General features: G+C 38.6%; 1 protein-coding gene across 9 annotated transcripts in view; it reads left to right on the plus strand.

Annotated features, from left to right (window-relative positions):
• Positions 1 to 26749, plus strand: part of SGCD (sarcoglycan delta) — a 1039957-nt gene that overhangs the window by 856920 nt on the left and 156288 nt on the right. For all 9 annotated transcript variants that reach the window (XM_047417519.1, XM_047417518.1, XM_017009724.2 and 6 more), the window contains 2 exons: positions 4480 to 4567; positions 10181 to 10300. In XM_047417519.1, coding sequence (XP_047273475.1) covers positions 4480 to 4567; positions 10181 to 10300 — 208 coding nt within the window. The remainder of the gene's footprint in view (positions 1 to 4479; positions 4568 to 10180; positions 10301 to 26749) is intronic.

The raw sequence follows: 26749 nt of genomic DNA on the forward strand, positions 1-26749 counted from the left end.
ATATGGCCTCCTCCCACCACACTGCTTTTTATATGTTTAGATTATAACATCACTCATGCTTAATGGCTTGCCTTTTGAAAACTGACAGTTACTGTCAACTTTTATGTAATTATTTCTTTTGTTGACAACTCTCACTCTCTGTTGACTCTTAATTTGATCTGAGCATTCAGTTATTCAGCAAATATTTATTGAAAGCCTAATGGGTGCCAGGAATATGTGGGGCACTAGAAAAGCTGGCAGTCCCCTTGCAGTGGTGACAGATGAACATGACCTCTCAAAGAAATCATTGAGAGAAAACAGCTAAACTTAGTGAAGTATTGAGAGAGACCAAAATGCTCCCAAATTTGGGCACAGTGCAGAGAGTAGCTGAATAGGAATGCTACAATGGGAAAAATGGACTGTTTCCCAGCTTATTTTGAGAAAGAGCTTCACAGTGTAGCTTCATTATTCATGACTGGAAAAAAATTTCAAAACAATAGAAATCTACCCAAGCATATTTATAAAAAGAGACTCCAAGAAAATAGAAATAACTGTACTATAGTATTGTTTTTCAGTAACTTGCTATGCTTTTAAAAGGATCAATTCAGAGACAACTTAAAGCATCCTATTGAAAATAATAATGTTAATAATAGAGATATTTGATGCCTGCTGAAGAAAAACTTACAAACTATCCTTTGAAAATGATTTTAATGACAAATCTCACTTTGTAGAAGCCAGTTTTTTCCAGGTGATATTCAAAGTTAGTGTTATTTTAGTAAACATAGAGCACTGCGACCAATGCATTGTGATGACTGTGGAGAAGTCACTATGTTCTGACTACCCAGTGTTGAGAGCCTTCCAGAAGAGTGCTTGTGCAGAGAGAGCCCTGGGTGAAGAATTTGCTGTGAGAGGACCCATGGACTATTCCTTTAGTATTTCCAAAGGCAAAATCTCATGGAAATATATTTTGTCTCAGTATAAGGGAGAATTTTCTAATGTGATCAAAAGTGAAATCATGTGTTCACAGTGTATCAGACTCCCTGCCAACTCAAAGATGGGGGCCTTTCCAAGGTCTCTTTCTGAAACTCAAGATCTTAGAATTTTGCAGCCTAATACAGCTTTCAATTATATAATAAAAAAACTTTGTATTTTATCATAGTTTTATATGTACCATAAAACTGTGAAGCAAGTACAAGGGTATTTCTATACATCCCAAACTCAGGCTTTCCTATTAACATCTAATATTAGTAGGTAAATTTTGTCACAATTAATGAACCAATAATGATACATTATTATTAACTAAAGTCCACCCTTTATTTTGATTACTTTGGTGTTTTTTTTTTTTAAAGTAATATCCTTTTTCTGTCCAAGGATTGTATCCCGGAAACCACCTTATGTATAGCTCTCATATCTCCCTACGCTCTTGGCTGTGATAGTGTCTCAGATTTTCTTTGGTTTTGATGACCTCGACAGTTTTGAAGGGTACTGATAAGGTATTTTGTAAAATGGCTGTCAATTGATATTTGCTATTTCCTCGTGTTTAGATGGGGATTATGGATGTTGAGGAGGAAGACCACAGAGGCAAAGTGCCATTGTCTTTTTATCATATCAAGGGTGCATGCTATCAACATGATATACCAGTCTTGATGTTGCTTTTGGTTAGCTGGCTGAGGTAGTGTTGGTCAGATATCTCAAATGTAAAATTACTCTTTTATTTCCCCTTTCTATACGGTGCTCTTTGAAATGAAGATACTAGGCACAGATCACCATTAAGGAGTGAGGATTTAATCTATGTAGATTTTTTGGAATTCCTCTGTCTGGGTAGATTTGACTATTCAACCTCATTTATCTGTTCATTTATATTTGTATAGACTCATGGATATTTATTTTATGCTCTGGGTTATAATACAATACTGCATTATTTGTTTTGTTCCTCAAATGCTTTCAGCTTTAGCTGTTGAAAGCTCTTTCAGTTGTCTTCTGTGTCACTTTGACATATCCCTATGATTGTAAGATTTTGGTTTTTTTGTTTTTTAAACACTTCCTTTCTGGCATTAAAAGATGCTGCAGCCTCCTGTTGAGGATTTCTTGTGCCAGCCATTTCTCTAAGGAGCTCTCCTCATGTAGCTTTTGTTTGTTTGTTTATAGTTTTAAAGTGGTTCTAGAGTCATTTCAGGTACTTTACACATATTTTTCTTTATTTTGGGGGGTCTTTTTTTCAACATCATTATGTAGCCTTTAACTTCATTTCACAGATGCAGAAACTAAACAGAAACTAAAAGAGAAATGATTTACCCAAGGCCATACAATTACCATAGAAGTGGAGTTGTTATAAAGCCTAAATTGTTTGCCTCCAGAGCTCACACTCTGAACCTTTACTTTACAAGGTCAGTCTCACTTGTTACCTAAGTTAGTGTTAGATAGAAACAGTGCTGCTGTGACCAGCCTGCCCTTTTGTTAGGAGGAAAGGTGAAAATAAGCCAAGTTTTCCTCTGGCAAGTCTCCCCTCAGGATTCCAGCCACGCTAAGAGTTCAAAGCCCTTCCTGAATGTGGGAGTTGTTGTGTGCTGTCTCGTGGTTTTCACTATTTATCTGAATTCCCAGATCAGATTGTTAGCTCTTCAGAGAGCAAGGAAAATATACTACACTGTAGGATTATTAAGGTAAGTAACTTCTGTCAGCCACATCACATCAAAACAGGCTGTGATGATATGGTTGCTATCAAATACAAATATGAAAATCTGCACCTTTCATACCAGGAGAGCATAAATCTTGATTGAAGTGATATCATATTCCCTCCCCTTTCCTCCACTTTTGAAAGCCACCTGGGGATGGGTGTTGGCTGCCATTCTGCCATGTGCAGGTGACTGGACTGGGCTGGCCAATCCAGTCTGCATCCCCACCAGTTTTAGAAGGAAAAAGACATTAGACAGCCCACAATTTTCTTACCTCTATGACTTTCTTTTTTCATTTCAACTTGATAAAATTGTGTCTATTCTTTTCAAGGCTTAGCCCAAGTGTTCATTCCTTCAGGAATTCTTCTTTGCTTCCTGCTCCACAGCCCCAAACTGAGAATAATCTCACCCTTCAGGGAAGTCCCCCAAACATCTCATAGCTCCGAAATCACTCTTGCTATTCTCTGGCTAGCATATTTGTGACCATCTCCTGGTCTCCATTAGAATATAAGACTTAGAAGGTAAAGACTGAACTTTGCCTGTCTTCTGCTTGCTCACAACTTGTAGGACAATGATTTTTATGTATTTGGGGCTCAAAGCATTGAGCTATTATTGAATTTTCAGGCAGTAATATACCAGATAGTGACAAAGGTTCCAAAAGCCAGGAATGGCTACCAGATTCCTTTTTCCATGTTCTGTGTCAGAGATTCATCCTTTAATTTATGGCTTTAGTTTCCTCTAAGAAAATGACAACTTCTAAACCAAGTGTTAGCACGCAGTGGCCTTTGAGCTACATTCAACCCTCTGCCTCTTCTTGTATCACCAGTGATCTAAGAATGGTTTTCATGTTTTTAAGTGGTGGGAGGGGGAGACAAAACACAAAAAGAATATCTCATGTCATATTCAGATTATATTAAATTTTAAATATAAAATTAAAATTTTATGAAATTTAGATGTCATTTTCCATGAATAATATTTAATGAAATACAGTCATACCCTCTTTGTTTACATATGGCCTAAGGCAAGTTTTACACCAAAACAGCAGAGTTGAGTAGTTACAACAGGGACATACATCCCATGAAGCCTGAAATATTCAGTCTCAAGACTTTCAATAAAAAGTGTGCCAAGCCCTATTCTGAGTCATGCCCAGAAATGTGTACCACTGTGTGAAAAAGTTGGGGAGCCCTTTAGATAAAGGGCAGAGTAGATACAGGCACAGACGGCCTAGAGGAAAAGGAATCTGGAGACAAGAAAAGGAAGAAAACGGAGGCAGAAGCATACTTGGGGACATCAGATCTCCTGGGTTTTGTATACATGCATTGCAAACATCTCTACAAAGGATTCTTATAGTTGGTGGGTATGCCCGAGGGGCAGATCTTGGGTATTTTACAGAACCTTCCTGCTCTTCTATAAGGACTCTGCATGGGTCTTTTGAAGAAAGGATGACATTAGGAGATTATCATTCATTTCTGATCATTCTGTATACCAAGACTAATATTTTCAGTAAGATCTAATGGGCTTTGTGTCTTAATTTTCTCTGATTCAACCATAATAATGTGTGTGTGTTCTGGGGGAATCTATATTGTGTGTGTGTGTGTGTGTGTGTGTGTGTGTGTGTGCATTTCTTTGGAAGAAATCTGTTTTAGATAGATGCTAGTTAATTATCATGTACATAGGGATCTTTAAACATTTGGAGTTTTTGAGTAAAGACACATTGATTGGAACTTGGCTAAAGCCATTTCAGCCCCTTGGAGAGTTGTAATGACAGTTCTTTTTGTTTAGAAATCTATCATTTTCATGTCTTTCTCTTATTTTCTTATTGCAGGGTAATGCCCTGTACTTCAAGTCTGCCAGAAATGTTACAGTGAACATTCTCAATGACCAGACTAAAGTGCTAACTCAGCTTATAACAGGTAAGAAAAGGGAGAACTTAACAGTGCCTAGCCCATGCGAGGCACTCAGAATACAGAATTAATGGTCAAAGGAAACACCATATGAACCTGAAAATAAAGTGTGCTAACACATTGTTGAGAAAGAGAATGTAGCATGTGTTCCATGATTCTACTAGAGGGTAGAATCCCATCCGTACACATATTAAACTTATGAAATCTAATGATACCTACTTAGTGGGGTAAGAAAAAAAATTTTTCTAAGCAGATTTTCATAGAACATGGCCCCTAAATATAAACCAGCTGCTTCATCAGGTGCTCAGCCAAAGAAAAGCTTCTTGCTCCAATGCTGGAGGAAAAACAGGCTGTGTTGGATTGGTTGAGAGAAGAATGCAGTATCTATAAAGCCAGGGACCATACTTTATGGGCTGTGAAAGGGATTTTTAACTATAGTTTGAACCCATGCCATATTTGCTGTACGTGCTGACTTTGAACCTAACTCAATTGCAGGATGTGGATGTATCTTTACTGAATATGTTTGTGTGTAATTTCTTTTAATACAGCAGATCTGTGCCTAACGGCTGTGGAAAGCACCCACTGTGTTTTAAACTACAAATTCCTGAAATCTAAACAAGGACTGGTTATTCACAATAATGATTATAATGATAAACATGGACCTCGTGATTTGGTAACGTGTTGAGCAGCACAATCAATGCCCACTCTGTAAGCAGTGAACAGGGAGGCATTATGCACCCCCACAGTGGAAGGGAAAAGGAATGTATGTATGAATGGCATTGTTATACTTACAGACAGAAAATGCCATTTGTTTGGCTTCAGGGCTAAAAGTAAAGTATACGGATGGACATTTTGAGAAGCCAGTTACCCAAATGCCTCGAAACATTACTGTTATTGTGAATAAAATATCTGGAACCCACTAATAAGCCATGGGGAAACAGGTACCTTTGTGACCATAGTCTTCACTCCTGGGGAGGGAGCCTCACTCCCACTCTTCCCCTGGAGTGCTGCATGTAGATGTCTAGAGATTCATAGCCAGTGGGTGACTTGGACCATCTGCCAATCAAGAAACTCAGGGATTGAAGGAACTGCTGCCCGGCAGAGCCCATAATCCATAAACATGTTGTTTCAGCGTGTGACTGGATCTTCCACCTTGCTTATATAACATCTGGCCCACAGTCACAATGCTAAATAATTAAATAAACAGCTTCAGTAAGCAATGATTTAAGCAGCGTGTGTGAAAATTGCCTCCAGGAGGGTAATAAATCCAACCTCCAGCTCCCAGATTTTCACATTCAAAAGGAACTTATTTAGCCTGTTGATCATTTCCCATTTATTTGTAGTGGGAGATTTGGTTTATTTGAGATTTTGTTTTGATAAATCTGGAACTGCCCAAATGACTATTATTCAGCAAAAGAGTGAGTCAGTCTCTTTTTTTCCCCCCACTCTTCCTCTCCCTTCTCTCCCTACCCTTCTGACACCCCTTTTCCCCTCCCCTTCAGTGCTTCTCTCCCTATTCCTTCCCCTCTCTCCTACCACCCCTTTATCCCTTTCCTTCCCCTTCTCTCTTCTCGTCTCTCTTCTTCTTCCTCTCTTCCCTTGTTTCTTCCTCCTTCTCCCTCCTCCTGTGTCACTATTCTTGACTCTATCCCTCCAGTGGTATTTGGTATTTGTTTTCTGTCTCCCTATGATGAATTCTAGAGAAGACATTAGATATGTTTAAAACATCATTCTAAACACACACACACACATACACACATGCAACAATACACCCTTAAAAGTTTTCCTTCAATACTCTCCTTTTACATTACATTAATGCACACAGTGGAAAAGCACCCAGCCATCCCAGCAGACAATACCTTCTAATGCCTGTTGTGCTGGGTGCTGTACTTGTTGGAAAACAAATCACTCCTGTCTTCTAAGCAATGAGGTCTACAAAGGCTATCCTGAGGAATAAAGAATTCTGTTTACCTAAAGAATGTCTCAAAAACCCATTAGAAATTCTAATGTTAGATGTCCAGGAAGTCTTTTCACAGGAAACAATACTTCACATGATAGTTAAGTTCTCAAATTAGATCACGAATGCCTATTTGACCATAAGGCAGGCTGCTGATTTAGTATCTCAGTAGTGGGTCTGAATGGGGAACCCTCCCACCTACATGGAGGAAAGCAGTGGAGATGCTTTGGACAGCATCATGAGGGAGTGGGGAAGGGTTCTAGTGTTAAGAGAGTTGGGAAGAGAAATTAGGCTTGAAGGCCACCAGGCCTTTGCACCTCCCAGACTCATGGAGACTGTTGATGCATTTTGATGGGGCTCCAGTTCTCCTCCCTGTTTAGGAGATTAATTAAGGAGGCACTCCACACATAGACTACACAGAGGGGGATTAATTCAAGATTAGTTTCACATTAGGAATAGTGGTTTTTTTCTTCCCAGAGAGGAACAATGAGTTCAACATGTGACCTCCTGAGCTGTCTCCAGCTCCATTTGCATTTTTCTCTAGAGTCATTTTTAAGGATTCCAGCCATGTCCAGGGAATTTTGCAGCCTCAGGTGAAATCAACAAAGGACAAGCCATCTGCACCACTGAGCCAGCAGTTGCTCTGTGGGGTTTTGGCTAAAACTACCAATTACTGAGCTTCAGATACCCAAAGGGTTGTGGCTCTTGGTGAATTCCACTTTATGTTCTGTGAAGCCCTGAAAAGCAAGATAGCTTAATTGTACTTTGTGTTCTCTGATTGCTGAAGCATACTTTCTATACTGCTATAGTCCTTTAGTATATGCTTCTGTATGTCTCACAGCTGTTCATGAATTCAAAGTAACACAGGAAGGTGTCCTTAACTCCTCAGGGACCAGGATGATGATATTGCCCAGGTCCACAGAGAAGTCCAAGCATGTGTGTCCCCAAGTTATACAACTGCTTTTTTATATGAATGGAACAAAAATGGGCAAACTGCTCGCCCTGTGCCCATCCTGAGGTCATTCATTCATTCGTTAGTACTTCATTACCTTCCCATTCTCAATCTCCCTCCTCACAAAAATAAAGTAATAACCCTAAAGCACTGACAATATAATATAGATTTTATTCAAGGTTTTGATGCCATCAAGAAGATAGCTACATCTTAGCCTTTGCAGAAAAACTGAAGCCAAATCCCTCATTGGACATCTCAGCTCTTTCAAGATTTCCTTCTGGCCCTTGTCTCCAGTTTTCTATTTCTCCTTCTCCTCACAGATCTTATTTCCTGGCTCTTCCAGATGTGCTGGCCCCAGCTCCCTTCTCCTTCCTAGACAAATAAATGCCCCTTTCCTTCTGTGGAATAATTCTCAGAGCTCCATTCCAGACTGAGACCTGCCATTGTCTCTAACCTTGCGAGAGCCCTCCGCCTTGCCCCCATTTGTTCTCCTCATCTGCAGCATCAAAGTGGTCAGATAAGATGACTTCCGGGTTCCATCATGCTTGGAAGTGCTGTCCTATCTCTGCTGTTTCAATCTCCTACTCATTAGGGAGCCTTTCCAATGTCCTTCTTTGTGTTGGAGGGCTGGTGTGGACACACTGGCAAGGGATGAGGTCTGCTTAATAGATGTGATTATGTGAGTAAGGAGAGTGCACTAATAAGTACTCATCATGCATTCTTTTCCACGTGTTGTCCCATTGCAGTAGAATGGCGACATCCACAAGAGTGGTGATGTCCACAGGAGTGGTTTCCTACACTCACAGCACTTTACCACCCATAGATTTCTTTTTATAAACACAATGTCATTTGATTCTTTCAAACTTTCTATAACATAGATAGATACAGTAGGCAGTGATAGTCCAATGTTATAGATGCAGAAACTGAGGTTCAGAAAGATCAAATGATTTGCCCCAAATCATGTTATCACAGAATAAGAATGAGTTGGGAAATAATTCATGTCTTCTGATTCCTAGTCCGACAGTCTTGACAAAGAGAAAAGCCACCCCAGATGCCCAGTGGCTGGTTGGCACTATCAGCCCAGCCTTAGCATTCTCCTGCTTCAATGTAATTTTTCAGAACACGCGCACCAGACAAGGCTGTTCAGTGGCCATGATGGATCAAGACAAAACAACACAAACACACAAACACAACTCTGGTCATGTGTGTACATAGCAAAACTATCAACATTGTCCAGACCACAAAAAAGACCAAACATCCCCCTATCCTGGCTAATAAGAGTGACTCTGTTTCTTTATTCACCACATTTTTTGCATTTCCCTGGTCTGTCTTTGTTCTAGATAAGATTTACTCCCATTTTCTGATAGTATTTAATCCAGGGTAGAGCCTTATTTCCTTAAACGTTCCCCAAAATAAGCTAATATAAGGTCACATTCTCTGATAAGTCCTTTCTCATGACTTCTTTCTGAGATGCCCTATGGTTTTCCTTATGGTGTGTGTTGTCCCTCACTGCAATGAGTAATAAACCCAATTTGTTCAACAACAGGTGTGTTCCTAGTGGTCTTTGGCTGGAAGGCACTGGGGACTCTCTCATTGCTATTTATTATTAAGTGACACTCTTTTGAAAAATACCAGAAAGAAAACAATTCCATGTCAGAATCTTCTGAACAATTTTGGAAAAAGTATAAGATTTCTAGACTCTACCCTCAAATTTTTTTCTGTAGGAACTTCTAGTTGAAAAGATGAATTTCTTTTGATCTGAGCTAGGTTCAGTGAGAATGATTATACTCCTGGATTATTCCTGTGTGTTTCTGTAGACCAGCTTTTGAGAACCCCATGAAATTTAGGTATTCAGGTAGATCCAGTAGATCCAGCTCAGATAGATTGGAATGCTTTCTTCTTTTAGAAATTCTAGCTCATCAACCTGGTTTACTTTTTCCATGGTACCTAAATCTTTCTGCAGTTTTCTGGTTTAATAATAAAATTTTAAATGTATATTGGTGTGTCTCCATCAGAATATAGATGCTATGGAATCGGGCTTGATTTCCTTGTGCAGTATTACAGCTCCACATTCAAGAACAGCATCTGTTGTCATCTGATAAACTATCTAAATTTAGTTTTCACTGAACAAAATCCTAATATAAAAGATTGAACAACTTCTAAGGCAATTAATTACAGTAACCATTTCTGCTATGAAATGATCTGTATACTAAGGAAATAAATTTCTCTTGGTGTCAAATGCAGCCAGTGGGTTAAGGGTACAAAGTTAAACACATTTCAGCTGAATTTTAAAAAGCTCTTTCTGATAATTAGGGAGGGCCAAAGATATGTGATTGTCTCGAGAAGTGTTGAGCCTCTGGTGCCTTGAGAAATGCAAGCAAAAATCCACAACTATTTGACAGCAATTTGGTGGTTAGCTGAGGGAAATCACAGTCAAGGATTAGTTTGGAGGAAGGGCTTGCTGGTCTTCAAAATTATAGCCCAAGAATATATTACTAAAAGTAATTGACAAGACCTGGCTAAAGTCATGAGACTGATTTTCATGGTCAGCTTTTGAAAACCAGTCCACTGAACATTGAAGTCTCATACAATCTTGTTAGATATGTGTGTTCTATGAAAAGCTTTTTGTAGTCAAAGCGATGAGACTAATGGTGTTTTCTCTCTCTCTCTCTCCTCTCTCCTCTCTATCTCTCTATCTCTCTATATCTCTCAGGTCCAAAAGCCGTAGAAGCTTATGGTAAAAAATTTGAGGTAAAAACTGTTTCTGGAAAATTGCTCTTCTCTGCAGACAATAATGAAGTGGTAGTAGGAGCTGAAAGATTACGAGTTTTAGGTAAGGAAACTTGAATCATTTAACTTGTTTGATGCTACTGTGTACATTTTAGAGGAGAAGCAAAATGGTGTTATGAACAGGATATGTCCTCCCAAAATTCATATATCGAAATCCTAACTCCCAAGATAATGGTATTAGGAGGTGGAGCCTTGAGGGGTAATTAAGTCATGAGGGTTGAGCCCTCATGAATGGGATTAGTGTCCTTCCAAGGGGATGAGAAGACCAGAGATCCCTCTCTGACATGAGAGGGTACAAGAAGTCAGCAGTCTGCAACCTGGAATAGGAGCCTCACCAGAACCTGACCAGGCTCGTATCTGATCTCAGACTTTAAGCCTCCAGAACTGTGAGAAATCAATTTCTGTTGTTTATAAGCCACCCAGGCTATGGTACTTTGTTACAGCAGCCTGAACTGACTAAGACAAATGGTGTCTAGAAGAGTGATTTAGGCCAGTTTCCTGGATTCTTTTAAAGCAAGGCAGTTGAACCTCCCTGAGTCTGGTCCCCTAGTGGAAATTTCTCAAGCTGTCAAGTCTTTTTGGCACATCTTTCAACACTGAGCTTTGTGTGAAAATGAGTGCTCATCCAAAGAAGTCTCATTTAGAACATCCTGTACTCACAGACTGGCAGGCGTGCTTGACGCATTCCAGACTTGCATACATGATGCAGTGATTCCTAAACCTGGTTGCAACTGAAGAATCATCTAGGAAACTTTGGAAGGGTTTAGGTTCATAGTTCCAACTCTGATTTACTGAATTAGAAGCTATGGTGAAAACACTGAGAATTCGTTATTAAAAATATTTGCAGAAATTTCTATGATCCCACTGTTGGAATTATTGAATTTGAGCACATAGCAAATGAATCTTTTATGGCTGTATGCTGAAATGATCTAGCATGGTGATTTAAGGATCCTAGAACTCCAGCTGACCGGGTTTTTAATTCCTGCTGTCACCCACTAGTTTTGTGACTTTGGGCAAGTTGCTGGCATCACTGAGCCAGTTTCCTTTTCTGCTCAATAAGGCTAAGAACATCTCCCATCTTGAGTTGTCCCTAAGGTTAAATGAGACTCTGTTACATCCACTTATCAGAGCCCCTAGCACAAAATAGTGCTCAGTCAACAGTAGGTGCTGCTGCTGCTGTTACTACTTATACTACTATTACTATTAATGCTAATTCTACTTTTCCTTCTTTAGCTCCCTGAGATTCACTGTAGCATAGTGATTAAAATCTCAGGCTCTAGAATTAGCCTGTTTTTAACCCAATTTCTATCCTTTGCTAGCTGTGTAACCTTAAGCAAAGTATCTAATCTCTCTGTGCCTGCTTGCTTACCTGTTTATAAAATTGGTATAATAGAAGTATCTATCTTCTGAGACTGCTAAAAAGATTGAATGAAATCATCTATGTAAAGTACTGAGTTGGCTAAAATACTAAGTGTCCAATAAGTGCTAGGTGTTATCATCTTAAATTATTAGTATTATTATAAGGTACGTTTACCTGAAATTATATTTATCTCTGCATTATTATTTGCACTTTGCATCTTCTTTATCTTCCATTACTCCTGTATTTTTTCTTGGTCTTTACCTCCTCCCACAGTCAGCTTGTCTGGTCTATTTCTCTCTTCCTCTCTCAGTACACATACATGTCTAATTTCCTTTCTGGATGACTCTTAGAGCTTCATCTCCAGTCTGGTATCTTCCTTGAATTCTGGATCTTCTTTATCTGGATATTCTGCCAGCCTCTCAAATTCAGTGGATCTTGAATGCCTATCATGGTCAAATGCACGCATATGTACATGTGTGCATATATATTCCATCACCTCACCCCCGACTCTCCCACTTGTATTTGCCCCTGACTTCCTTAACACTCTTACTGTCCCCATTATACTGTCCTGTCCCAGTCTCATCCTGGCCATCATGAGCTCAGCATAGTCAAAAGATGGAAGTGACCATCCTTATGGGGCTTAATGGAGGCAAAAATGCAGGGTGCAGAGATGATAAAGCCAGGTGCAGTCTAATCCCTGGTCAGTGGTTTATGTGTGGCATGATCTGAAACAACTCCCTTTTTCTTTCAGGGCCTTGCTTTTTTATATCTGTAAAATTAGAGTTACCTAGAGAAGATATTTTTATACAATGTTTTCCAGTGACCAAAGCTTTTAAAAATAAAATTTCATACATAGTCCCAATAAATAAAATAGATGAAAGACCAAGATTTCTCTGGGTTGTAGGCGAGTATATTAGTCTGTTCTCACCCTGCTAATAAAGACATACCCTAGACTGGGTAATTTATAAAGAAAAAGAGGTTTAATGGACTGACAGTTCCAAATGGCTGGAGAGGCCTCACAATCATGACAGAAAGCAAAGGAAGAACAAAGACACATTTTACATGGAGGCAGGCAAGAGAGCACATGCAGGAAAACTGCCCTTTATGCAACCATCAGATCTCATGAGACTTATTCACGATCATAAGAACAGCCTAGGAAAAAACCCACCCCTATGATTCAATTATCTCCAACTGGGTTCATGGGACTATGGTTGCTACAATTCAAGATCAGATTTGAGCGGAGACACAGCCAAACCATGTCGGTGAGGATTTGAAAGGGGAGACTTGAGACATTGGAGTCTTAGTATAGTTTGATTCTTTTCCCCCTCTGTGTCCTCTGGGGACTGCTTATAACTTATTTTTTAAAACCCCTTATGTGGATACTCTTTTTATAAAAGGTCTATTGATTACTTGCTATGATTTAGGTACTATGCTTGATATGCAGTATTATATTTACACCTCAGAAACACCTTGTGGGGTAGACACCATTTTTATCACCCCTGTTTTACAGTTGACACAATTGAGCTGAGCCATAGGGAAAGGTGAACCAAAGCATGGCTGACAGCTAGAATTCACAACCTGGCATGTTGGACATAGAGGGCTTTACCTTAAAGCCCTATACTTGCTGTGGCCTCTATCTGGTCTCATTTTCAGAAGGGGAACATTGCCCAAGATCAAGTGCCAGTAAGTGGAAGGGCCCATGTTCAAATCCCTGCCTATAGACTCCAGCCTCGGTGCACTTCACTACATGTAAATATGTTCCTAAGACTTTTCCTATTTTCACAATTTATGCTTTCCTCTTTTTGTAGAAATGGCATTTTCTATTTTAATTCTTGGCTGGTGTGGAGGGAAACCCAGAGACTTCGAGCTATCCTCATGTTTAAGAGCACTTTGGGCCAGGCGCAGTGGCTCACATCTGTAATCCCAGCACTTTGGGAGCCCAGTGCAGGTGGATCATGAGGTCAGGATTTCAAGACCAGCCTGACCAACATGGTGAAACCCCGTCTCTACTAAAAATATAAAAATTATCCAGGTGTGGTGGCACACAGCTGTAATCCCAGCTACTGGGGAGGCTGAGGCAGGAGAATTGCTTGAACCCAGGTGGTGGAGGTTGCAGAGAGCCAAGATCGTGCCACTGTACTCCAGCCTGGGCAATATAGTGAGACTCTGTCTCAAAAAACAAAAACAAAAACAAAAAACTTTGCTGTACCAGCTGTAAAACAAAAATGCCTAGGGGAAAAAGTGGTGTTATCTCACACCCAGATCATTCTATGCAAGTGAATTTGGCACTTCCTGTTAATTCCTTGGTGCATCATGAGTCACTTCACCACTTTAAAATCTGACTTTGCAATGGCATAGGATAATTTTAAACGTCCAGACACTTTGGCTTAATCTTAACATCCAAAACTCTGTGATGGTATCACTTCAGAACTTAACCTCTACCCTACCCCACCCCCACATTCACTTAGACTGAAGACTGGGAAATGATTATAGGTTTTGGTCACTTCAAAGCAGGTGGGTATTTTCGTTGTTGTTTGCAGCTATGTTTGTGATATTTCATTTAGAGCATAATGTAGGATAAAATCTGTCTCTCTTCATCATTAGGAACATTTGCTTTTTTATGTGAAATGTAGAAAGGAAGCATCAAAATAAATATCACTGCTGCTGTCAATGCTAAAAAGACTTGGAAATGACCACCCCACAAATCTTGCATCAACCTACTCAGTGAAATGAGCCCAGTGGGTTGCAGAAATGAGCTTCTTATCAGCTGGGATTCAGCCATATGGTGTGGAATGACAAGTCTAGGCAGTTTCATTTTCAGCATAATGAGAAGTTTGTCTTTTTGAGTCGTCAGACTGTATAAACTCTTGGGAGGTTTGAATCTGGTTGCACATTTCATGGTAGCATCTAACATAGCTGGGTTTTATCCTTATCAGGACCACTTAGGACCTGAGTGACCGTATTCAAGTATGTTTTCTCTCTAAGCTTTAGTTTCCATTTGTATAGAAAAAGAAAAAAAAATGGAAGGAAGAATGAATGACTATAATAAGAAATATAAGTAAATGCTATGTAAAAAGTCAATTATTTAAGTTGATAGCAAGTTGAGTAGAAATAAGCAGTAGAGACCTAAAAACATAATGTCTCTTACATGTAGTAGCTTTACTTGTGGATTCAGAACAATTTTAAAAATTTTTCTCTGGATAACCACACCCACCTATTCAGTTTTTAGGACAATGACAACCTTGAGCACATTCAAGGGATCTTGAATAGTATGGTAAAAAGACTAGAAGCTCAATTATTTGGAAACTTTTATTCTGGAAAAGATATAGGAGGAATAAATGTAGGTAGGCTGTAGTCACTGAGCTCTCATACATGCATGACTTTCCTGGGGAAAGCAGAGCAACCAAGAGCCATGCAGTTGAGTAATTAAAAACACAGGTTTTGTAGCTAACTATATATCCTGGTTTCTGTTGTAAGCTAGTGCTTTGGGTATGTTGCTTCATCGTTCTAGGGATCCTCTTATAACTCTGTGACATAGGGTAATAATGTTGGGTGCTCTGTGCTGTTGGGAGTACTGAACTACACAGTGTGTGTAGAGTTAATAGTACAGTGTGTGGAACACAGTAAGCATTCAGTACATGCTAACTGGTGTTGGTGATGGATTTTTTTTTCAATTGACACATTACAGGCAAACATACAATTTGATTTTTTGATACATCTCCATCATATAATGATGAAACTAAGGTAGTTAGCATATTCAACACCTTGTGCGTTTATCATTTCTTTTTGATGACAACATTCAAAAACCAGTCTTGTAGCTATTTTATAACATACAGTAACTTACTGTTAACTGTAGTCACCCTCCTGCACAATAGAACACCAGAACTTATTTCTCCTATCTAAATGCAACTTTTATCCATTAACCAAACTCCCCAACCTTCTCTCCTCCATCCCCTCCCAATTTATGGTAACCACCTTTCTATTCTCAACTTCTATTTAATATGAAATCAACTTTTTTAAAATTCCACATATGAATGAGATCCTGTGGTATTTTTCTTTGTATGTCTGGTTATTTTACTTAGCAAAATGTCCTCTGGTTTGCCCATTTTGTCCCAAATGACAGAATATTATTCTTTTTATGGCTGAACAGTATTCCATTGTGTACACATAACACATTTTCTTTATGTATTCTTTTTTATGTATTTCTTGTTGGCCATGTAGGTTGATTCCAAGTCTTGGCTATTGTGACTAGTACTGCAGTAAACGTGGAACTTAAGACATCTCTTTGATGTATTGATTTCATTTACTTTGGGTATATATCCTGTAGTGGGATTGCTGGATCATATGGTAGTTCTATTTTAATTATTTGTAGAGCCTCCTTACTGTTTTCTGTAATAGTTATACTTATTTATATTCCCACTAACCATGTTAAGGATTCCCTTTTTTTACATCCTCATCAATATTTGTTATCTTTTGTCTATTTGATAATACTCCTAACTGGAGAGAGATGGTATCTCATTTGCATTTCATTTATATTTAAATGGTTAATGATGTTGAGCATATTTTCATATACCTGTTGAACATTGGTATGTTTTTGAGAAATATCTATTAAGATCTTTTGCCTATTTAAAATTGGATTATTTTGCTTTTTTGCTGTTCCTTTTGTATTCTAGATATTAACTCCTGTCAGATGTATAGTTTGTCAACATTTTCTTCCATGTAGTTGGTTGTCTCTTCTTTCTCTTGTTTCCTTGGCTGTGAAAAAGCTTTTTAGTTTTATGTAATCCCATATTTTTAACTTTGTTGCCTGTACTTTTGAGATCTCACCTAAAAAATCCTTCCTTAGCCCAATATCATGAAGTATTTTCTCTACGCTTTCTTCTAGTATTGTAGTTTTGGGTTTTACATTTACATCTTTAAATCCATTTTGATGTGATTTTTATATATAGTGAGAGGTAGAGGTCTAATCTCATTCTTCTACATGTGGATATCCAATTTTCTGGCACCATTTATTGAAGAGACTATTTTTCCCCAATATGTGTTTTTATCAACTTTATGAAAAGGCAATTGGCTGTAGGTGAGTGAATTTATTTCTGGGATCTCTATTCTCTTCCATCGGTGTATGTGTCTACTTTTATGCCAAGTACCATGTTGTTTTGGTTATTATAGCTTTGTAGTATGTTTAGAAGTGCAATGCCTGCAGTTTAATTCTTCTTGCTCACAATTGTTTTGGCTATTTGGAGTCTTCTGTGGTTCGAGATGAATTTTAGAATTTTTTTCCTATTTCTGTGAATAATGTCATTGGGTTTTTTTGTTTGGTTGTTTTTGTTTTTGAGATGGAGTCTGGCTCTGTCGCCCATGCTGGAGTGCAGTGGCGCGATCTTGGCTCACTGCAAGCTCCACCTCCCGGGTTCCGGACATTCTCCTGCCTCAGCCTCCCGAGTAGCTGGGCCTACAGGCGCCTGCCACCACGCCCGGCTAATTTTTCTATTTTTAGTAGAGACGGGTTTCACCGTGTTAGCCAGGATGATCTCGATCTCCTGACCTTGTGATCTGCCTGCCTTGGCCTCCCAAAGTGCTGGGATTGCAGGTGTGAGCCACTGAGCCTGGCCGTGTCATTGGTATTTTTGATAGGGATTGCATTAAATCGGTAGAATGTTTTGGGTAGTATGGACATTTTAACAATTTAAGAATTAATCTAATCTGTGAACATGGAGTCTCTCTTCACTTATTTGTGTCCTCTTCAATTTATTTCATCAATGTTGTATAGTTTTCAGTATAGAGATCTTTTCACCTCCTTGCTTAAGTTTATTCATAGGTATCTTATTTTTCGTAGCTATTGTAAATGGGATTGCTTTCTTGATATTTTTTCAAATAGTTCACTGTTAGCATATAGAAATGCTACTGATTTGTATACGTCCATTTGATGTCCCACAACTGATTAGAATTGACTGTTAGATTTCTTAATTCTAATAATTTTTTTTTTGGTGGAATCTTTAGGGTTTTCCATATGTTATATATAAAATCTTATCATCTGCAAACAGGGACAATTTGATTTCCTCCTTTCCATTTTGTTTGTTTCTTTCTTTCTCTTAATTTCTCTGGCTACAACTTCCTGTACTTCGTTGAATACAAGTGGTGAGAGTGGGCATTCTTGTCCTATTCCTGATATTAGAGGGAACTTCCCATTCAGTATGATGTTAACTGGTGATTTCTTGTATATGGCCTTTATTGTGTTGAGGTACCTACCTTTTATACCTAATTTGATGAATTTCTTGCAATTGGATTTTGAGTTCTGTCAAATGCTTCTTCTGAATGTATTAAAATGATCATATGGTTTTTGTCTTTCTTTCCATTAACGTAGTATATCACACTTATGGATTTGCTGATGGTAAACCATCCTTGCATTCCTGGTATGAATCCTACTTGGTCATAGTGAATAATCTTTTTAATTTGCTGTTAAATTCAGTCAGTTAATATTTTGTTGAGAAATTTTGTATCTATGTTCGTCAGAGGTATTAGGCTATAGTTTCTTTTTTTGTTGTATTCTTGTCTGGTTTTGATATCAAGGTGATGCTGGCCTTGTAACATCAGTTTGGAAGTGTTTCCTCTTCTCTGATGTTATGGAATAGTTTGAAAAGAATTAGTAATACTTCTTCTTTAAGTGTTTGGCAAGAAGTCAGCATGAAGCCATTATGTCCTGGGCTTTTCTTTGATGGAAGACTTTTATTACTGATTAAATTTCTTTGCTCATTATTGGTCTGTTCCCATTGTCTATTTCCTCATAATCCAATCTTGTTAGGTTCTATGGGGTCCAAGAATTTATCCATTTCATCTAGATCGTCAAGTTTGTTGGTAGATAGATATTCATATAGATACATAATAATCCATTTTATTTCTGTGGTATGAGTTGTAACGTTTACTTTTTTATTTTAGATTTTATTTGAGTCTTCTCTTTTTGTATTAATCTAGCTAAATATTTGTCAATTTTGTTTATATTTTCAAAAAAACAACTTTGTTTCATTGATCTTTTTAACTATAATCTCTTTTTTAATTCTACTCGATCTTTATTATTTACTTTCTTCTACCAACTTTGGGTTTTGTTCTTACATTTCTAGTTCCTTGAAGTGTATCTTTAGATTGCTTAATATAAATCATTTTACTTTTTCGATATAGGCATTCATTGCTATGAAATTCCTTCTTATGACTGCTTTTGCAATGTCTCAGGCTTTGGCATGATGTGTTTTTATTCTTATTTCTCTCAAAAATATTTAAATTTCCTTTTTAATTTCATTGTTAACTTATTGAGGAGACTGTTGTTTACATGTATTTGTAAAGTTCTGAAGTTTTTCTTCTAGTTGATTTCTAGTTTTATACCATTGTCAGAAAAAAAATGCTTGATATAATCTTTATCTTCTTTGTTAAGACTTGTTTTGTGGTATAACATGTGATCTATTTTGGAGAATGTTAAACGTGTAATTGAAAAGAATATATATTCTACAGCTCTTAAATGGAATGTTCTGTAAATGTCTATTAGGTCCATTTGGTCTATGGTACAGTTTAAGTCTAATATTTCTTTGTTAATTTTCTGTATAAGTGATCTTTCCATTGTTGAAAGTGAGGTGCTGAAGTCTTCTACTATTACTGTTTTGGAGTCAATCTCTCCCTTTAGATCTAGTAATATTTGCTTTATATATTTAAGTGCTTTGGAATTGGGTTTCTTTATTTACAATTGTTATATCTTCTTGTTGAATTGATTCTTTTATCACTATACAATGACCTTCTCCTTTCTTTTTACAGTTTTTGACTTAAAGTCTACTTTATTTTATATAAGTATGGCTACTCCTGCTTGCTTTTCATTTCCATTTGAATGGACTGTCTTTTTTCATTTCTCCACTTTCATCTATGTGTTTAATAATGAGGTGAGTCTCTTGTAGGCAGAATATAATGGGGTCTTGTTCTTTAATCCATTCAGTCACTGTATATATTTTAATTAAAGAATTTTATCCATTTACATTCAAAGTTATTTATGATAGGTGAGAACTTACTCCTCCTCTTTTTTACCTCTGTGGTGTGGTGGTTTTCTGTGGTGCTAAGATTTGTTTTCTTTCTCTTTCTTGTTTATGTATCTGCTGTAATTTATTTGTGATTCCTGTGGGGCTAACGTGAAGTCTTATAGTTACAATAGGTTATTTTAAGCTAATAACAATTTAATTCCAGTCACATGAGAAATACTCTAGACTTTTTTCCTCCCTGCCAACAATTTATATTTTTGATATTTTCTTGCCTGAAAACATATATTTAAATTAGTATATATAGTATATCCATTATACATATACATGAAATATATGCACATTATATATGTATATATACATATATACACATTTTATATGTATATATACATATATACACATTTTATATGTATAATATATATAAATTATACACTATACATATATACACAATATTCACACATATATACATATATAATGTGTATAATATATACTTTATATATATATTATGTGTATGTTTCTTAACCACTAATTTTAGTTGTTATTGTTTTTGACTGTGTTGACTTTTAGCCTTCATATTAAGGGATTGAAAGATTTACATAGTACCATTGTAGCAATGGGGTATTTTGAGTTTGATTATGAATTTACTTCTTTTTTTTTCTCTTGTGTGTGTGTGTGTTTTATTATTATACTTTAAGTTTTAGGGTACATGTGCACAACGTGCAGGTTTGTTACCTATGTATACATGTGCCATGTTGGTGTGCTGCACCCATTAACTCGTCATTTAACATGAGGTATATCTCATAATGCTATCCCTCCCCTCTCCCCCCACCCAACAACAGGCCTCGGTGTGTGATGTTCCCCTTCCTGTGTCCATGTGTTCTCATTCTTCAATTCCCACCTATGAGTGAGAACATGCAGTGTTTGGTTTTTTGTCCTTGCAATAGTTTGCTGAGAATGATGGTTTCCAGCTTCATCCATGTCCCTACAAAGGACATGAACTCATCATTTTTTATGGCTGCATAGTATTCTATGGTATATGTGCCACATTTTCTTAATCCAGTCTATTATTGTTGGACATTTGGCTTGGTTCCAAGGCTTTGCTAGTGTGAATAGTGCTGCAATAAAAATACGTCTGCATGTGTCTTTATAGCAGCATGTTTTATAATCCTTTGGGTATATACCCAGTAATGGGATGGCTGGGTCAAATGATATTTCTAATTCTAGATCCCTGAGGAATCGCCACACTGACTTCCACAATGGTTGAACTAGTTTACAGTCCCACCAACAGTGTAAAAGTGTTCCTATTTCTCCACATCCTCTCCAGCACTTGTTGTTTCCTGACTTTTTAATGACCACCATTCTAACTTGTGTGAGAGGGTATCTCATTGTGGTTTTGATTTGCATTTCTCTGATGGCCAGTGATGATGAACATTTTTTCATGTGTCTTTTGACTGCATAAATGTCTTCTTTTGAGAAGTGTCTGTTCATATCCTTCACCCACTTTTTGATGGGGTTGTTTTTTTCTCGTAAATTTGTTGGAGTTCATTGCAGATTCTGGATATTAGCCCTTTGTCAGATGAGTAGATTGCAAATATTTTCACCCATTCTGTGGGTTGCCCGTTCACTCTGATGGTAGTTTCCTTTGCTGTGCAGAAGCTCTTTAGCTTAATTAGATCCCATTTGTCAATTTTGGCTTTTGTTGCCATTGCTTTTGGTGTTTTAGACATGAAGTCCTTGCCCATGCCTATGTCCTGAATGGTATTGCCTAGGTTTTCTTCTAGGGTTCTTATGGTTTTAGGTCTAACATTTAAGTCTTTAATCCATCTTGAATTAATTTTTGTATAAGGTCTAAGGAAGGGATCCAGTTTCAGCTTTCTACACATGGCTAGCCAGTTTTCCCAGCACCATTTATTAAATAGGGAATCCTTTCCCCATTTCTTCTTTTTGTCAGGTATGTCAAAGATCAGATAGTTGTAGATATGTGGCATTATTTCTGAGGGCTCTGTTCTGTTCCATTGGTCTATATCTCTGTTTTGGTACCAGTACCATGCTGTTTTGGTTACTGTAGCCTTGTAGTATAGTTTGATGTCAGGTAGCATGATGCCTCCAGCTTTGTTCTTTTAGCTTAGGATTGACTTGGCAATGTAGGTTCTTTTTTGGTTCCATATGAACTTTAAAGTAGTTTTTTTCCAATTCTGTGAAGAAAGTCATTGGTAGCATGATGGGAATGGCACTGAATCTATAAATTCCCTTGGACAGTATGGCCATTTCCATGATACTGATTCTTCCTACCCATGAACATGAAATGTTCTTCCATTTCTTTGTATCCTCTTTTATTTCATTGAGCAGTGGTTTGTAGTTCTCCTTGAAGAGGTCCTTCACATCCCTTGTAAGTTGGATTCCTAGGTATTTTATTCTCTTTGAAGCAATTGTGATTGGAAGTTCACTCATGATTTGGCTCTCTGTTTGTCTGTTATTGGTGTATAAGAATGCTTGTGATTTTTGCACATTGACTTTGTATCCTGAGACTGCTGAATTTGCCTATCAGCTTAAGGAGATTTTGGGCTGAGACGATGGGGTTTTCTGGATATACAATCATGTCGTCTGCAAACAGGGACAATTTGACTTCCTCTTTTCCTAATTGAATACTCTTTGCTTCCTTCTCCTGCCTAATTGCCCTGGCCAGAACTTCCAACACTATGTTGAATAGGAGTGGTGAGAGAGGGCATCCCTGTCTTGTGCCAGTTTTCAAAGGGAATGCTTCCAGTTTTTGCCCATTCAGTATGATATTGGCTGTGGGTTTGTCATAGATAGCTCTTATTATTTTGAGATACATCCCATCAATACCTAGTTTATTGAGAGTTTTTAGCATGAAGCATTGTTGAATTTTGTCAAAGGCTTTTTCTGCATCTATTGAGATAGTCATGTGGTTTTTGTCATTGGTTGTGTTTATATGCTGGATTATATTTACTGGTTTGTGTATGTTGAACCAGCCTTGCATCCCAGGGATGAAGCCCACTTGATCATGGTGGATAAGCTTTTTGATGTGCTGCTGGAATTGCTTTGCCAGTATTTTATTGAGGATTTTTGCATCGATGTTCATCAGGGATATTGGTCTAAAATTCTCTTTTTTGGTTGTGTCTCTGCCAGGCTTTGGTATCAGGATGATGCTGGACTCATCAAATGAGTTAGGGAGGATTCCCTCTTTTTCTGTTGATTGGAATAGTTTCAGAAGGAATGGTACCAGCTCCTCTTTGTACCTCTGGTAGAATTGGGCTGTGAATCCATCTGGTCCTGGACTTCTTTTGTTTGGTAGGCTATTAATTTTTCCCTCATTTCAGAGCCTGTTATTGGTCTATTCAGAGATTCAACTTCTTCCTGGTTTAGTCTTGGGAGGGTGTATGTGTCCAGGAATTTATCCATTTCTTCTAGATTTTCTAGTTTATTTGTGTAGAGGTGTTTATATTATTCTCTGATGGTAGTTTGTATTTCTGTTGGATCGGTGGTGATATCCCCTTTATCATTTTTTATTGCGTCTATTTGATTCTTCTCTTTTCTTCTTGGTTAGTCTTGCTAGTGGTCTATCAATTTTGTTGATCTTTTCAAAAAAACAGCTCCTGGATTCATTGAGCTTTTGAAGGGTTTTTGGTGTCTCTATTTCCTTCAGTTCTGCTCTGATCTTAGTTATTTCTTGCCTTCTGCTAGTTTTTGAATGTGTTTGCTCTTGCTTCTCTGGTCCTTTTAATTGTGATGTTAGTGTGTCAATTTTAGATCTTTCCTGCTTTCTCTTGTGGGCATGTAGTGCTATAAATTTCCCTCTACACACTGCTTTGAATGCATCCCAGAGATTCTGGTATGTTGTGTCTTTGTTCTCTTTGGTTTCAAAGAAGATCTTTATTTCTGCCTTCATTTCGTTATGTACCCAGTAGTCATTCAGGAGCAGGTTGTTCAGTTTCCATGTAGTTGAGCGGTTTTGAGTGCGTTTCTTAATCCTGAGTTCTAGTTTGATTGCACTGTGGTCTGAGAGACAGTTTGTTATAATTTCTGTTCTTTTACATTTGCTGAGGAGAGCTTTACTTCCAACTATGTGGTCAATTTTGGAACAGGTGTGGTGTGGTTCTGAGAAGAATGTATATTCTGTTGATTTGGGGTGGAGAGTTCTGTAGATGTCTATCAGGTCTGCTTGGTGCAGAGCTGAGTTCAATTCCTGGATATCCTTGTTAACTTTCTGTCTCATTGATCTGTCTAATGTTGACAGTGGGGTGTTAAAGTCTCCCCTTATTATTGTGTGGGATTCTAATTCTCTTTGTAGGTCTCTAAGGACTTGCTTTATGAATCTGGGTGCTCCTGTATTGGGTGCCTATATATTTAGGATAGTTAGATCTTCTTGTTGAATTGATCCCTTTACCATTATGTAATGGCCTTCTTTGTCTCTTTTGATCTTTGTTGGTTTAAAGTCTGTTTTATCCGAGACTAGGATTGCAACCCCTGCCTTTTTTTGTTTTCCATTTGCTTGGTAGATCTTCCTCCATCCCTTTATTTTGAGCCTATGTGTGTCTCTGCACATGAGATGGGTTTCCTGAATACAGCACACTGATGGGTCTTGACTCTTTATCCAATTTGCCAGTCTGTGTCTTTTAATTGGAGCATTTAGCCCATTTACATTTAAGGTTAATATTGTTATGTGTGAATTTGATCCTGTCATGATGATGTTAGCTGGTTATTTTGCTCATTAGTTGATGCAGTTTCTTCCTAGTCTCGATGGTCCTTACAATTTGGTATGTTTTTGCAGTGGCTGGTACCGGTTGTTCCTTTCCATGTTGAGTGCTTCCTTCCGGAGCTGTTTTAGGGCAGGCCTGGTGGTGACAAAATCTCTCAGCATTTGCTTGTCTGTAAAGTATTTTATTTCTCCTTCACTTATGAAGCTTAGTTTGGCTGGATATGAGATGCTGGGTTGAAAATTCTTTACTTTAAGAATGTTGAATATTGGCCCCCACTCTCTTCTGGCTTGTAGAGTTTCTGCCGAGAGATCGGCTGTTAGTCTGATGGGCTTCCCTTTGTGGGTAACCCGACCTTTCTCTCTGGCTGCCCTTAACATTTTTTCCTTCATTTCCACTTTGGTGAATCTGACAATTATGTGTCTTGGAGTTGCTCCTCTCGAGGAGTATCTTTATGGCATTCTCTGTATTTCCTGAATTTGAATGTTGGCCTGCCTTGCTAGATTGGGGAAGTTCTCCTGGATAATATCCTGCAGAGTGTTTTCCAACTTGGTTCCATTCTCCCCGTCACTTTCAGGTACACCAATCAGACATAGATTTGGTCTTTTCACATAGTCCCAAATTTCTTGGAGGCTTTGTTTGTTTCTTTTTATACTTTTTTCTCTAAACTTCTCTTCTCACTTCATTTCATTCATTTGATCTTCCATCACTGATACCCTTTCTTCCAGTTGATCGAATCGGCTCCTGAGGCTTGTGCATTCATCACATAGTTCTCGTGCCATGGTTTTCAGCTCCATCAGGTCCTTTAAGGACTTCTCTGCATTGGTTATTCTAGTTAGCCATTTGTCTAATTTTTTTTCGAGGTTTTTAACTTCTTTGCCATGGGTTCCAACTTCCTGCTTTAGCTCAGAGTAGTTTGATCATCTGAAGCCTTCTTCTCTCAACTTGTCAAAGTCATTCTCCGTCTAGCTTTGTTCCATTGCTGGTGAGGATCTGCATTCCTTTGGAGGAGGAGAGGTGCTCTGATTTTTAGAGTTTCCGGTTTTTCTGCTGTTTTTTCCCCATCTTTGTAGTTTTATCTACCTTTGGTCTTTGATGATGGTGATGTACAGATGGGGTTTTGGTGTGGATGTCCTTTCTGTTTGTTAGTTTTCCTTCTAACAGTCAGGACCCTCAGCTGCAGGTCTGTTGGAGTTTGCTGGAGGTCCACTCCAGACCCTGTTTGCCTGGGTATCAGCAGTGGAGGCTGCAGAACAGCAGATATTGGTGAACAGCAAGTGTTGCTGCCTGATCATTCCTCTGGATCTTTTGTCTCAAAGGAGTACCCGGCTGTGTGAGGTGTTTGTCTGCCCTATTGGAGGGTGCCTCCCAGTTAGGCTCCTCGGGGGTCAGGGACCCACTTGAGGGGGCAGTCTGTCCGTTCTCAGATCTCCAGCTGCGTGCTGGGAGAACCACTACTCTCTTCAAAGCTGTCTGACAGGGACATTTAAGTTTGCGGAGGTTTCTGCTGCCTTTTATTTGGCTATGCCCTGCCCCCGGAGGTGGAGTCTGCAGAGGCAGGCAGGTCTCCTTGAGCTGCGGTGGGCTCCACCCAGTTCAAGCTTCCTGGCCACTTTGGTTACTTACTCAAGCCTCGGCAAAGGTGGGCGCCCCTCCCCCAGCCTCGCTGCCACCTTGCAGTTTGATCTCAGACTCCTGTGCTGGCAGTGAGCAAGGCTCTGTGGGCGTAGGACCCTCCAGGCCAGGCGCAGGATATAATCTCCTGGTGTGCCGTTTGCTAAGACCGTTGGGAAAGCGCAGTATTAGGGTGAGAGTGACCTGATTTTCCAGTTGCTGCCTGTCACCCCTTTCTTTGACTAGGAAAGGGAATTCCCTGACCCCTTGCGCTTCCCAGGTGAGGCGATGCCTCGCCCTGCTTCGGCTCATGCTCGGTGTGCTGCACCCACTGTCCTGCACCCAGTGTCCAACAGTCCCCAGTGAGATGAACCTGGTACCTCAGTTGGAAATGCAGAAATCACCCGTCTTCTGCGCCACTCACGCTGGGAGCTGTAGACTGGAGCTGTTCCTATTCAGCCATCTTGGCTCCTCCCCTCGATTATGAATTTACTTCTACAGTGAGCTTTATACATTCCTGTGTTTCATGATAGTTGTTATTGTTCTTTCATTTCCAGGTGTGGCACTCCCTTAAGGATTTTTTGTAAGTTATGACGAATTCCCTCAGCTTTTGCTTGTGTGCAAAAGTCTTTTTTTCTCCTTTATTTGTGAAAGACAGCATGCTGAGTATTGTTTTTTTGGCTGACAGTTATTATCACTTAACACTTTGAATATATTATTTCATTCTACCCTGCCCTGCAAGGTTTCTTTTGAGAAATTTGCTTGTAGTCTATTAGATATTTTCTTAT

Source organism: Homo sapiens, chromosome 5, assembly GCF_000001405.40.
Source record: "Homo sapiens chromosome 5, GRCh38.p14 Primary Assembly".
In the NCBI taxonomy this organism is placed as follows: Eukaryota; Metazoa; Chordata; class Mammalia; order Primates; family Hominidae; genus Homo; species Homo sapiens.